Source organism: Homo sapiens, chromosome 11 (assembly GCF_000001405.40).
Source record: "Homo sapiens chromosome 11, GRCh38.p14 Primary Assembly".
Classification (NCBI taxonomy): domain Eukaryota; kingdom Metazoa; phylum Chordata; class Mammalia; order Primates; family Hominidae; genus Homo; species Homo sapiens.
In genome coordinates this window covers 37,955,097-37,968,444 of record NC_000011.10, presented here as the reverse complement: position 1 = coordinate 37,968,444, position 13,348 = coordinate 37,955,097, and the positions used below count along the sequence as shown (strand labels likewise).

General features: G+C 37.4%; 1 annotated feature.

Moving 5' to 3' along the window:
- Positions 419 to 920: an enhancer, noted in NCBI's record as "H3K4me1 hESC enhancer chr11:37989075-37989576 (GRCh37/hg19 assembly coordinates)". NCBI's record gives its function as "activates a minimal SCP1, AML or CMV promoter by ChIP-STARR-seq in primed H9 embryonic stem cells {active_cell/tissue: H9 hESC(primed)}" and the evidence as "EXISTENCE:reporter gene assay evidence [ECO:0000049][PMID:30033119]".

Below are 13,348 nucleotides of genomic sequence, written 5' to 3'. Positions count from 1 at the left end.
CTAAACTACGCATGGCTCCACCCTGCCCCATCCTGTGCCTATAAAGACCCCAAATTCAGCTGGCAGAGACGAGAAGCAGCTGGATGTCGGGGACTACTGCTGGATGTCAGAGAGCAGTGGCTTGGCTTCAGAGGAAGATTACTTACCCGCCCCCTGTCCCCTTATCAGCTCCCCTTACTGCTGAGAGCCATTTTCATCCGCAATAAAATCCTTCACATTTACCATCCTTCAATTCGTTCCTACAACCTCATTTCTCCTGGATGCCAGACAAGAGCTTGGGAGCAAGGAGCGCGGATACAAAATGTTGAACACTGGCCCTTTGCCCTCACTGTCTGAGGGCAGCCACAGCCCCACTGACATGTTAACACTAAATTAACACTCAGCCACTGTATGGTAGAGCAAAAAAAAGCACTGTAACACGCTCAGCGCACTTGCACCCCCCCCCCCCAAAATGCTGCTGCGGGGCCCTCACAGAGTTTGCTTCTGCCAGCACCCAAAAGCACTCGCCCCGGCTCCTGCACCCGCTCGCCTGCATGCTCCCTCTAATGAGGGGTGGAAGGTAGCAGGCCTAATGAGTGGAGTTCAAGCAGCCAGCTGGTTCCACTTCCAACTGGTGCACTCCAGTTCCTTCCTCCTTTGTTCAAGCGCCTCCCTCCCATGAGGAGTTGAGAGTGGTGTGCTGAGTAAACTAGGCACGCCTGTTGCAAGTACTGTTGCAAAGTGGTCAAGGAAATATCCTGCTTCACTGATACTGAACATAGGACCCAATAGGTAATATTCAGTCCTTGCCCTGGTCTCTCTCTCTCCCGGCTCTAGTAGTTTTCAGTGTCAATTATTCTCACCTTTATGTCCATGTGTACCCAATCTTTAGCTTCCACTTAAAAGTGAAAACATGCACTATTTGGTTTTCTGTTTCCATATTAGTTCCCTTAGAATAATGGCCTCCAGCTGCATCCATGTTGCTGCAAAAGACATAACTTTGTCCTTTTTTATGTATGCATAGTATTCCATGGTAAATATATACCACATTTTCTTTTCCAATTCACTGTTGTTGGGCATCTGGGTTGATTTCTTGTTTTTGCTATTGTGAATAGCACTGCCAGAAACAGATGGGCACATGTGTCCTTTTGCTAGGATGATTTCCCTTTGGGTATAAAGCCAGTAATGGGATTACTGGGTCAACTGGTAGTTCAAATCAGTTCTTTGAAAAAATCTCAAACTGCTCTCCAAAGTGGCTGGACTAATTTACATTTGCATCAACAGGATAAATGTCCCCTTTTCCCCACAGCCTCGTCAACATCTGGTATGTTTTGACTTTTTTACAAAAGTCACTTTGACTCCTGTGAGATGGCATCTCACATGGTTTTGATTTGCATTTCCTTGATAATTAGTGATGATGAGCATTTTTTTTCATATGTTTGTTGGCCACCTGTATATCTTCTTTTAAAAAGTATCTGTTCATGTGCTTTCCTCACTTTTTAATGGGGTTATTTGATTTTTGTTCGTAATTTGTTTAAGTTCTTTATAGATTCTGGATATTAGACCTTTATTGGATGCATAGTTTGCAAATATTTTCTTTCATTCTGTAGGTTGTTTACTTCCTGAATAGTTTCTCCTGCTGTGCAGAAGCTGTTTAATTTAATTAGGTTCCCCTTGTCAATTTTTGTTTTTGTTGCAATTGCTTTTGGAGATTTAGTCATAAATTGTTTACCAAGGCCAATATCGAGAAGGGTATTTCCTAGATTTTCTTCTAGGATTTTTATAGTTTGAGGTTTCACATTTAAGTCTTCAATACATTATGAGTTAATTTTTGTATATGACGATAGGTAGGGATCCAGTTTCATTTTTCTGCATATTGCTAGTCAGTTATCCTAGCACCATTTATTGAATGGAAATTCTTTCCCCCACTGCTTATTATTGTAGAGTTTGTTGAAGATCAGGTGGCTGTAAGTGTGTGGCTTTATTTCTGGGTTGTCTATTCTGTTTCATTGATCTATGTGTCTGTTTTTGTACCAGTATCATTGTTTTCATTATTGTAGCCTTGTAGTACAGTTAGGTAATGTAATGCCTCCAGCTTTGTTCTTTTCGTTTAGGAAAACTTTTGGCTATTTTGGGCTCATTTTTAGTTCCATAAAAATTTTAGGATAGTTTCTTTTTTTTTAATTTTGTAAAAAATGGTGTTGGTAGTTTGATACTAATAGCAATGAATCTATAAATTGCTTTGGGCAGCATGGCCTTTTAATGATATTGATTTTTCCAATCCATGAGCATATAGTTTTTCCATTTACTTGTGTCATATCTGGTTTCTTTCAGCAGTAGTTCTCCTTTCAGCAGTAGTTCTTCTTGTAGATCTCTTTCACTTCCTTGGTTAGATGTATTCCAGGTATTTTATTTTTGTGTGTCTACCTTTATTTTTATTTTATATCTTGGTAAGACAAATTTAGCAAATTCCTAAGAAATTTCTCATGTAAACAATTTTTCCTCTGTCTTTATATGTCAACTTTTTTTTCCATTATATACCTCTTTGTTTCCCTGAAAATTTTGTAGGTATTTATTGCTTGTATCATAAACATCGTTATAGTATTGTGAATAAGTCTGAAACCAGCCTAATCTTTTCCACTCTTAACTGTTTTGAAATTTGGGGACTTATCATTTTGTAGTCAATTCTGAATCAATATTTTGTCAGACAAACTATGCTTTTCAATTTGTGTATTGAAGTCCTCTTTTTTTATTTGTATGTATGATATTTTTAAAAACATGTTTTATTTTTTCCCATAAATCTTACATATATGTATTTATATGTATGTGTGTGTATACACAAGACAAAGTTATGTCACATATAAATAAGTATATGTAATATATGTATACATACATATGCATGTAATATATGTTTACATACATACATATGTATGTATATATATGACATACCTTTGGTTGTCTTGGATTTATTCTGCCTTATACCTTTTCCAAGTTTAACCATATTTTTATGTTAGTTTCATTTCTTTCTCCCAGGTGTTTCCTGAGCTTTGAGGATTCAGGTTTCATTTCTTTATATAGACTTATCATAATTTCCTTGAGCTATTTTATTTTCTCTTTGAGCATTTGCATTTCTGTGTAGTTAATTTATTATGTTTCTTTCTTCTTTGAATGTATGGTCACAATTTTCTTCTTTTTCATTTTATTATCTTTCTTATTGATATTCCCCATCTGCCATCCTGTTTTTCTCTATTTTGCTTGTATGAGAACAATTAAATAATTTTATTACTCATATTAAAATGTTTTTTCCTCAATTGTATTATTATTTTAAAACCAATATAGATGTATTATTATTAATATCTATAGTTTACTTTGTAGTTCCCTCTTGTAGCTGTACAGTTACATGGGTTTTGACACAGATGCATAAAGTCCCATATCTACTATAACAGCATCAAACAGAATAGTTTCATGGTCTTTAAAATCTCTTGTGCTCTATCTACTTATCCCCTACTTCATTACTCCCTGAGAATCAGTGATTTTTCTACTGTCTTTATAGTTTTGCCTTTTGCAGAATGTCACATAGTTAAAATTATACAGTATGTGGCCTTCTGGCACTGCTTTCTTTCCCTTAACAATATGTGTTGTAAGTGCCTCCATGTATTTCTATAGCTTGACTGTTCATTTCTTTTAATTTTCCATTGTGTGAGTCTATATAAGTCTGAGGGTCTGTGGCTTGTCTAATTTTTATTTCCCTATTCAACTGTTTTAGAATATCTTCAAACTATTTACTCATTCATCTATTAAAGGAAATCTTGGTTGCTGCTAATTTTTTTTGCAATTGCAAATAAAGTGGCTATAAACACAAATGTGCAAGTTTTTGTATGATGTAAGCTTTCAGTTTATTTGTGCAAACATTTAGGAGAGTGATTGCTGGGTGACATGGTAAGACTGAGTTAACCTTTGTAAGAAACTCCCAAATTGTCTTCCAACATGGCTGTATGCTTATTTTGATATGCATTCCTTTGTGCTTTCTAGCGTTTTGGGTGCAGAGTCCACCTAATTCATAAATTTGGAGAGATTATTTGAAAAGGTTTTGCTTATAGAGAAAAAAAGCAATAGAATTCAAATGTGTGTGGCAGACTGAAGAGAAGCCACATATTCCTTTTCTTGTGAACCACTACTGTTGGAAGCGTCTTTCCTTTCCAGCGTCCTAGTATCTGGTATCTGAAGTTAAAGCAATATATATGTTCAATACAAAAGAACTAAACAAAAACAGTAAATAAGCAACAGAAACTATCAAAGCGAATAGACAACCAATATAATTTAAAAGACTGTTAAATAAATGACAATCTCAACAACTTTAGAAATTCAAGAAAATTTAAACAAAATGTTATGAGATGTTGAGATTCTGTCCTTTACATGTCAAACTGGCAAAGCTGGAATCCAAAACATGTTAAACCCTGAAACTCTGAGCTTTATTTCAAAGTACTATGAAGTAGGCACTCTTTTAAAAACACTGGAAAGTTTACAATGGCATAACCATTTGAGATTATTTATCAAGAGCCTTAAAGAATACACACACACACACACACACACACACACACACACACACACACTCATATGCATACCAAATAGATGCACATAGCATATTTGATACCAGGAACAGATATTTTAAAAAATACTTGGAGTCTTATTCTAAACTGAAACTTGGCATTGCTAGACATGTATTAAGTATTCCTGAGATGTTAGTTGAAAGGGAAGTGCAGACAGCAGGATTGGGCAGTAAGAAGGTGAGCTGCAAATGCTGTCAGTCTGTAAACATCCACGAGTAACGAGTAACCCCACAGGGGCTCTCAAGCTAGAAGAGTCCTTTACAATTGTCCCCAGGTGAGCTATTATAGTCAGGCCTTTTTTCCAGCATTGATCAGCCTTTGCATATGGACATTCCTGGGAACCTCCCCTAGGCAAATATATATAAATATATATTATATATTATAAAATATATATGGGATAAAATATATGTAATATAATTACATATAGGTCAATATATAATTATATATTAGTTAATATATTATATATTATATATAAAATGTTTTATATATAATATATAATATAAAAGTTATACATAAATATATGAATATATAAATAATAAAATATATATAAAATAAATATATACACACAAAAACCATATAACAACTGATAATTATTACCTTTGTTAACTTTTTTATATAAAAATATATTATTCAAATTTATAAAAATTTTATACATAACCACAATGTTTGAACTCATTTACACTCTGTAGACATTGCAAGACTCCTATTTTAACAAACAATTTTCTGGCTATAAACATTCTATTTTCATGTGTGCATGAGTGGCCAAACTGTTAGTTAAAATATAGGATGACTATAATTACCAATAATGTATATTTCAAAATAACTGAAATAGTGGAATTAGAATGTTTATAATACAAAGTAATCATAAATGCTAGAGGAGATGTATATACCAATTACCTGGATTTGATCATTACACATTGTATTCTTGTATAAAAATATCACACGTACTCCACAAATATGTACAACTATTATGTATTCATAATAACTAAAATTATAGATATATGTTCCCTATTTTCCTATTTTTTTTACCAATATTCTCTATTTTAATTTGTTTTTGTAGAATTACTAATGATATCAGGAATTATTTTATGTGTTTATTACTCAAGTGTACTTTTTAAAAATTAAAGCCTAGGTACAAATGATTAGTAATGTTCCTCACCCATACTCTAGTATTTGATCTATTTAAGTATATTAACCTATGTAAGGCCTCTCTATTTATTTGTTCACAAATGTATTCTTTTCTTTATAATTCAGATTTCCACTCTTATTACATTCTATCAACATTGACAATGACTTCATGTGTTTAAAGCACCCTTATATTTATTCATATTATTTAAAACATATACTGCTGAATTAAAAGCAGTATAATAATTTTTACTTTGAATTTTAATATTAAATTTTTATTGTATGGAAAGGGTATTGTCTCATATACCTAATTCTGTTTAATGGTTTCACTTAGCACAGTAGTTTTTGTAAGATCCATCCATATTATAATGTGTAAATTTTACAGTTTTATACCAACCGTTGACTGAAAAGATTTTGATGAGGATTTCTTTAGTACCTTGTAACTCTTTAGATTTTATTATTTATTTATTAAAGGATTATTTCTATTTATTTATTTGAATCCTCTATTTCTGTTCTACTAATAGCATTTGTAGGTATTTATCAATTTCATTGAGTGTTTAATAATTCTTTTTTGATATTTGTTTAAAAATTTATTCCTAAACCAGTATTTAAAATGTGGTCTTTTAAATTTTATAATACTTTTAATGGTTTTTTCAGCCTACTGATCTACGTGTGAGAATAATGTAAAGCTAAGTGTGCATGTGTATGTGCACCTGTATGTGTGCATAATGAGAGGTAGCTATATCTTCTCCTCCCACTCTTCAAATGCTTAGTGATAGTTGCAATACCATTTCTACCGTTTTCCATTTATATAACAATATGACATTCTTTTAATTATTAACCCCCTAGTACCTTTACATATTTTCCCCCAAAAGATGCTTTTTTTCAAAATGTTTTGAATAATCTCAGATGTAATATTTACCCCAAACTGACTTTTAGATCCGCTTGTCAATTTCCATTAAAAAAAAATGTTAAATTGACTGAGTCCACATTGACTTTTCAGATATATTGGGAAAATCTTGCAGATCATACGATACTAAATATATGTATTTATGCATGTAGACTACCTGTACAAATAGTCAGGGTTTCTGCTATATTCTGCTATATTTGTCTTTTGAAAAGCTTGTTGAACACGTATATATAAATATTTCTGCGGTAAAATATTTCTATCTTTCAATTTTTATAATCAATTATGCAATGCACAAATAGCTCCAATTAGGAAAAAATATAGAGCTATTGCTTCTATATATAATTGCTGCAGCCTTGTTTTCAATAGGAAATTTTTTTCAAAAATTAAAAGACCAGTAACTGGGAAATAGATTACTTATAAAAGTTTTAGCCAGGCAGTGCCATTTTACAGTCATTGTCTAGTTCTTATTTTATTTGACTTTTTGGTAACTTTTGGCACAGTTTATGCATCTTATTAAACTTTCTTTCATTGGCTCCATTAACAGCACATTTGTTGAATTCCTTTTACTTCATGGGCTACTCCTTTTCAGTCTTAAGGTCTATGTAAATGGTTCACTGCTAGATTAGACTCTTCTACTTGTTTACTCCTAATATGGAAGCAAGGAGATAAGTCCTTGGTTCTTTTCTCTTCTCTTCCTACACCCCCACTTCAATGACTTCACTTGGGTACCAAGGTGATATAGTTTGGCTGTGTCCCCACCCAAATCTCATCTTGAATTGTAGCTCCCATAATTCCCACATGTTATGGGATGGACCTACTGGGAGATAATTGAATCATGGGGGAATTTCCCTCATACTTTTCTCACGGTTATGAATAATTTTCATGAGATCTGATGTTTTTAATAAGGTGTTTCCCCTTTCTCATTCTCTCTTGCTGCCACCATATAAAACATGGCTTTCACCTTCCACCATGATTGTGAGGCTTCCCCAGCCACATGGAAATGTGAGTCCGTTAAACCTCTTTTCCTTTATAAATTACCCAATCTTGGGTATGTATTTATAAGCAGCATGAAAATGGACTAATACACATGGCATTAAAGCTGTATAAATTGAAACTACAAATTGACAACTTCAACCTAGACTACCTCTTCAGAGCTAGCTACATGCCTGTTTATATAACTATTTACCCTATAATTTGATTGTCCACATAATAACATGGTAAACATGAAAAAGATTGAACTCCTCATCTCTCCACTCCCAAACCTGATCTGCCCTCAGCCTTCTCCATATCAGCTTATAGTAACTCAATTATTTCAGTAGCTCAGGCCAAAAACCTGAACTATTGTTGACACTCGTGTCATTTATATTCCATGTCCTATGTACCAGGTGATCATATTTTATCTCTTTTCCAGTAAATGTAGGTTTGTACCATTCCTCACCATCTATACTGGCACCAGCTTAACCTGAGACACTCTCATCTCCCACTGGGATAATATGGTAGCCTCTCCTTCCTAGCATCTACCAGTCTTTGTATAGCTTATTATCAACATATTAAAAAGTAACTATTTAAAATGTTGAGGATCATAATTTTATTCTTCTGTTCAATATTCTTCTCCCAAGTCTAGCTCTATAATTTGAGGTGGTTGGCATAAGATAAAAATACTGGTCCTCCACTGTGGGCAGAGAACTTAATCTCCCCTCCTGACAGGTCCTCCATCCTAACTCCCAACAGACAGGCAACCTGATATGATTTGGCTGTGTCTCCACCCAAATCTCATCTTGATTGTAACTCCCACAATTCCCACTTATTGTGGGAAGGACCCAGCAGGAGGTAATTGAATCATGGGGGTGGGTCTTTCTCATGCTGTTCTCCCAATAGTGAATAAGTCTCATGAGATCTGATGGTTTTAAAGGGGAGTTCCCATGCACCAACTCTTTTTTTGCCTGCTGCCATCCATGTAAGACATGACTTGCTCCCCTTGCTTTCTGCCATGATTGTGAGGCCCCCCCAGCCACGTGGAACTATAAGTCCATCAAACCCTTTCCCCTGTATAAATTACCGAGTCTTGGGTATGTCTTTATCAACAGCATGAAAACAGACTGATACAGTAAATTGGTACCAAGAGTGGGTGCTGCTGTAGATATGCAAAAATATGAAAGTGACTTTGGAACTGGGTAATAGGCAGGGGTTGGAATAGTTTGGAGGGCTAAGAAGAAGACAGGAAAATGTGGGAAAATTTAGAACTTCCTAGAGACTTTTGAATGGCTTTGACCAAAATGCTGATAGTGATATAGACAATAACATCCAGGCTGAGAGGGTCTCAGATGGAAATGAGGAACTTGTTGGGAACTGGTGCAAAGGTGACTCTTGTTATGTTTTGGTAAAGAGACTGGCAGCATTTTGGCCCTGCCCAAGAGATTTGTGGAATTTTGAACTTGAGAGAGATGATTTAGGGTATCTGGAGAAATAAATTTCTAACCAGCAAAGCATTCAAGAAGTGACTTGGGTGCTGCTAAAGGCATTCAGTTTTAAAAGGAAAACAGAGTACAAAAGTTTAGAAAATGTGCAGCCTGACAATGCAATAGAGATGAAAATCCCATTTCTGAGAAGAAATTCAAGTTGGATGCAGAAATTTGTGTAAGTAACAAGGAGCTGAATGTTAATCTCCAAGACAATGGGGAAAATGTCTCCAGGTCATGTCAGAGGTCTTCACAGCAGCCCCTCCCATCACAGGTCCAGAGGTCTAGGAAGAAAAATGGCTTCAAGGGCTAGGCCCAGGGTCCCCATGCTGTGTGCAGCCTAGGGACTTGGTGCCCTGTGTTCTAGCTGCTCCAGCCCTAACTAAAAGAGTAAAGGTATAGCTCAGGCTGGGCTTCAGAGGGTACAAGCCCAAAGTCTTGGCGGCTTTCAAGTGGTTTTAACCTAACAGGTGCACAGAAGTCAATAATTGAGGTTTGGGCACCTCCACCTAGATTTCAGACGATGTATGAAAACACCTAGTTGCCCAGGCAGAAGTTTGCTGCAGGGGCAGGGCCCTCACAAAGAACCTCTGCTAGGGCAGTGCAGAAAGGAAATGTGGGGTTGGAACCCCCACACAGAGTCCCTACTGGAGTACCACCTAGTGGAGCTGTGAGAAGAGGGCCACCATTTTCCAGACCCCAGAATGGTAGATCCACTGACAGCTTGCACCATGTGTCTGAAAAGCCATACACATGGAATGCTGGCCCATGAAAGCAGACAGGAGGGGGGCTCTACACTGCAAAGCCACAGGGACAGAGCTGCCCAAGGCCATGGGGACCCACCTTTTGCATCAGGTGAGCTAGAAGTGAGACATGGAGTCAAAGGACATGATTCTGGAGCTTTAGTATTTGACTGCTCTGCTGGATTTTGCACTTGCATGGGGCCTATAGCCCCTGTGTTTTGGCCAATTTATCTCATTTGGAATGGCTGTATTTACCCAATGCCTGTATCCCCATTGTATCTAGGAAATAACTAACCTGATTTTGATTTTACAGGCTTATAGGTAGAAGGGACTTGCCTTGTCTCAGATGAGACTTTGGACGGTGGACTTTTGAGTTAATGTTGAAATGAGTTAAGACTTTGGGGAACTGTTGGGAAGGCATGATTGGTCTTGAAATGTGAGGACATGAGATTTGGGAGGAGCCAGGGGTGGAATGATATGGTTTGTCTGTGTCTCCACCCAAATCTCATCTTGAATTTTAATTCTCACAATTCCCATGTGTTGTGGGAGGTACCCAGTGGGAGTAAATGGATCATGAGGGTGGGTCTTTCTCATGCTGTTTTCGAAATACTGAATAAGTCCCATGAGGTCTGATGGTTTTAAATAAAGGAGTTCACCTGGAAAAACTTTCTCTCTCTTTGCCTGCTGCCATCCATGTAAGACATGACTTGCTCCTTTTTGCCTTCCACCATGATTGTGAGGCCTCTCCAGCCATGTGGAACTTAAGTCCATTAGACCCTTTTTCCTGTATGAATTTTCCAGTCTAGGGTAGGTCTTTATCAGCAGTGTGAAAATGGACTAAAATACAATGCCAGAGAAATTTCAATCACTTTATCTGGACATTCTATGTACCTGGAAGTAGTAGAAAGTAGAGTTAGAGGTCCTCATCTAGTCACCTGCCACCTAGTGCTGTCAGCCCAGAGAGGGAAAGTTGCAGCCTTGAGACAGTGTGGGGTGTTTGCCTCACCCCACTGGGGCCATAGGAAGACAGAAGAGTGCTGGAATCCCCATATTACCAGGTTGCTACTCCAGCAAAAGTTAGCATCAGTCTCCAGTTGGAGAGATTGAGTAAGGTCTGGAGTGATAGGGGCTAGAAAGTAAGATTGAGTATTTTTAGTAGAGACAGGGTTTCACTGTGTTAGCCAGGATGGTCTAGATTCCTGACCTCGTGATCTGCCTGCCGAACAAAAAAATTAGCTGGGCGTGGTGGCGGCGGGCGCCTGTAGTCCCAGCTACTTGGAAGGCTGAGGCAGGAGAATGGCGTGAACCCGGGAAGTGGAGCTTGCAGTGAGCCAAGATCGCCCCATTGCACTCCATCCTGGGGGACACTGTGAGACTCCATCTCAAAAAAGAAAGTAAGATTGAGCAAGGCCTGGAGTGGGAAGGGCTTCTACCATCCTGAAGACGTAGAAAGGAGATAGGAGATGGGATTATGAGTGAGCTAAAACTCCTGACGCCAGTACCCTGGAGCATCTGCCATTGTCCCATTGGACATCACTTTCAAAACACAATTCAAAGATAAAATGTAACCATAGAGCATTACATCCTAAATGCTGGGTGTCCTTTTATGACTACATTGGTCACCCACATAGAAAGCCCTGCACTGAATTTTTTTTTTTTTTTTTTTGAGACAAGTGTCTCACTCTGTCACGCTGGCTGAAGTGCAGTGGCATGGGATCTCTGCTCACTGCAGCCTGGACCACCCAGGCTCAAGAGATCCTTCCACCTCCACCTCTGGCGTAGCTGGGATCACAGGCATGCACCACCACACCCGATTAATTTTTTGTATTTTCTGTAGAGATGGAGTTTTGCCATGTTGCCCAGGCTGGTCTCAAACTCCTGACCTCAAGTGATCCGCTCTCCTTGGCCTCCCAAAATGCTGGGAGCAAAGGGATGAGCCACTGCAATTTACTTAACAGCCGAGTCTTGATGAGATAATACAGGGCATCCTACCTGACATTCCCAGATTCTACTCTTTTCTCTTTCTCTCCAGTCATCAGGGCCTCCATTTCTCTCCTAGAACACACCAGGCTTAGGGTTCAGGCACTGGTTTTTCTCTCTGCCTGAAATTTTCTTTCACCTTTCTCTGATATCCTCAGCACTAACTTTTTTACCTCCATCAAATCTGTCAAATCTCACCTTCTCAATGAGGACAGCCCTGCAAGGCTGCTTAAAATACAACCTCTCACTTGAACACAGGAGACGGACGTTGCAGTGAGCTGGGATCGTACCACTGCACTCCAGCCTAGGCGACACAGCAAGACTCTGTCATAAATAAATAAATAAATAAATAAATAAATAAATAAATAAATAAAATAAAAAAAATACAACCTCTCTATCCTATTCACTAATTATTTATATCATATTTTTTCCTTAATATAATCCATGGCACTCATCATCTTTTTACTATACTATGTAATTGAATTCTTTACTTTTTAAAAGTATTTATTGCCTATCTTCTGCCTCCAAAAAAACAAGCTCTATGAGAGCAAGGATCTTTATCCTCTTCTTTTGTGAGTAGTGTTGTCATGATTTTTAAAATTTTTAAAATTTTCAGTAGTTTTTGGGGTATGGGTGGTTTTTAGTTACATGGGTAAGTCGTTTAGTGGTGAATTCTGAGATTTTAGTGCACCCATCTCCCAAGCAGTGTACGCTACCCAATAGGTAGTATTTTTTCCATCAACCGCCCCAAATTCCCCACCTCCACCGAGTCCCCAAAATCTATTATAACACTTTATGTGTGTTTATATCCTCATAGCTGAGCTCCTATTTGTGAGAAAATATGGCATCTGGTTTTCCATTCTTGAGTTGCTTCACTTGGAATAATGGCCTCTAGTTCCATCCAAGTTTCACTGATAAAATTCATCCATCTACAAAATTACCTGGCACATAATCACTAAAAAATTAGTTGTCAGATTAACTAATTGAAATTATTATTTTCACATTTATTTAAAAAAGGTCATAATACACTGAATGAAAAGATACAAATTTGTAGATACTGAATGACCTATCTAGTATAAATAATGTTTGTATGGGTGTAGAAATAAATGTGTACCTAGACGTATGTGCTTGATTAGATGCATGTGTTTGTGTGTGAGTGTGTGCATGGAAAAAAACTGAAAGGGAATATTACTAGTTTTTTTTTTTTCTTTTAAGTGTTGAATTGATGGGCAACTTTTTAAAATGTTTTATAGTTTTACGTTATCTACAGTATTAATTTAATGGGTATAAAAAATAAATGTTATGGCCGGGCACAGTGGCTCACGCCTGTAATCCCAGCACTTTGGGGGGCCGAGGCAGGCGGATCATGAGGTCAGGAGATCGAGACCATCCTGGCTAACACAGTGAAATCCCGTCTCTACTAAAAATACAAAAAATTAGCCGGGTGTGGTGGTGGGTGCCTGTAATCCCAGCTACTTGGGAGGCTGAGGCAGGAGAATGGCGTGAACCCAGGAGGCGGAGCTTGCAGTGAGCCGAGATCGT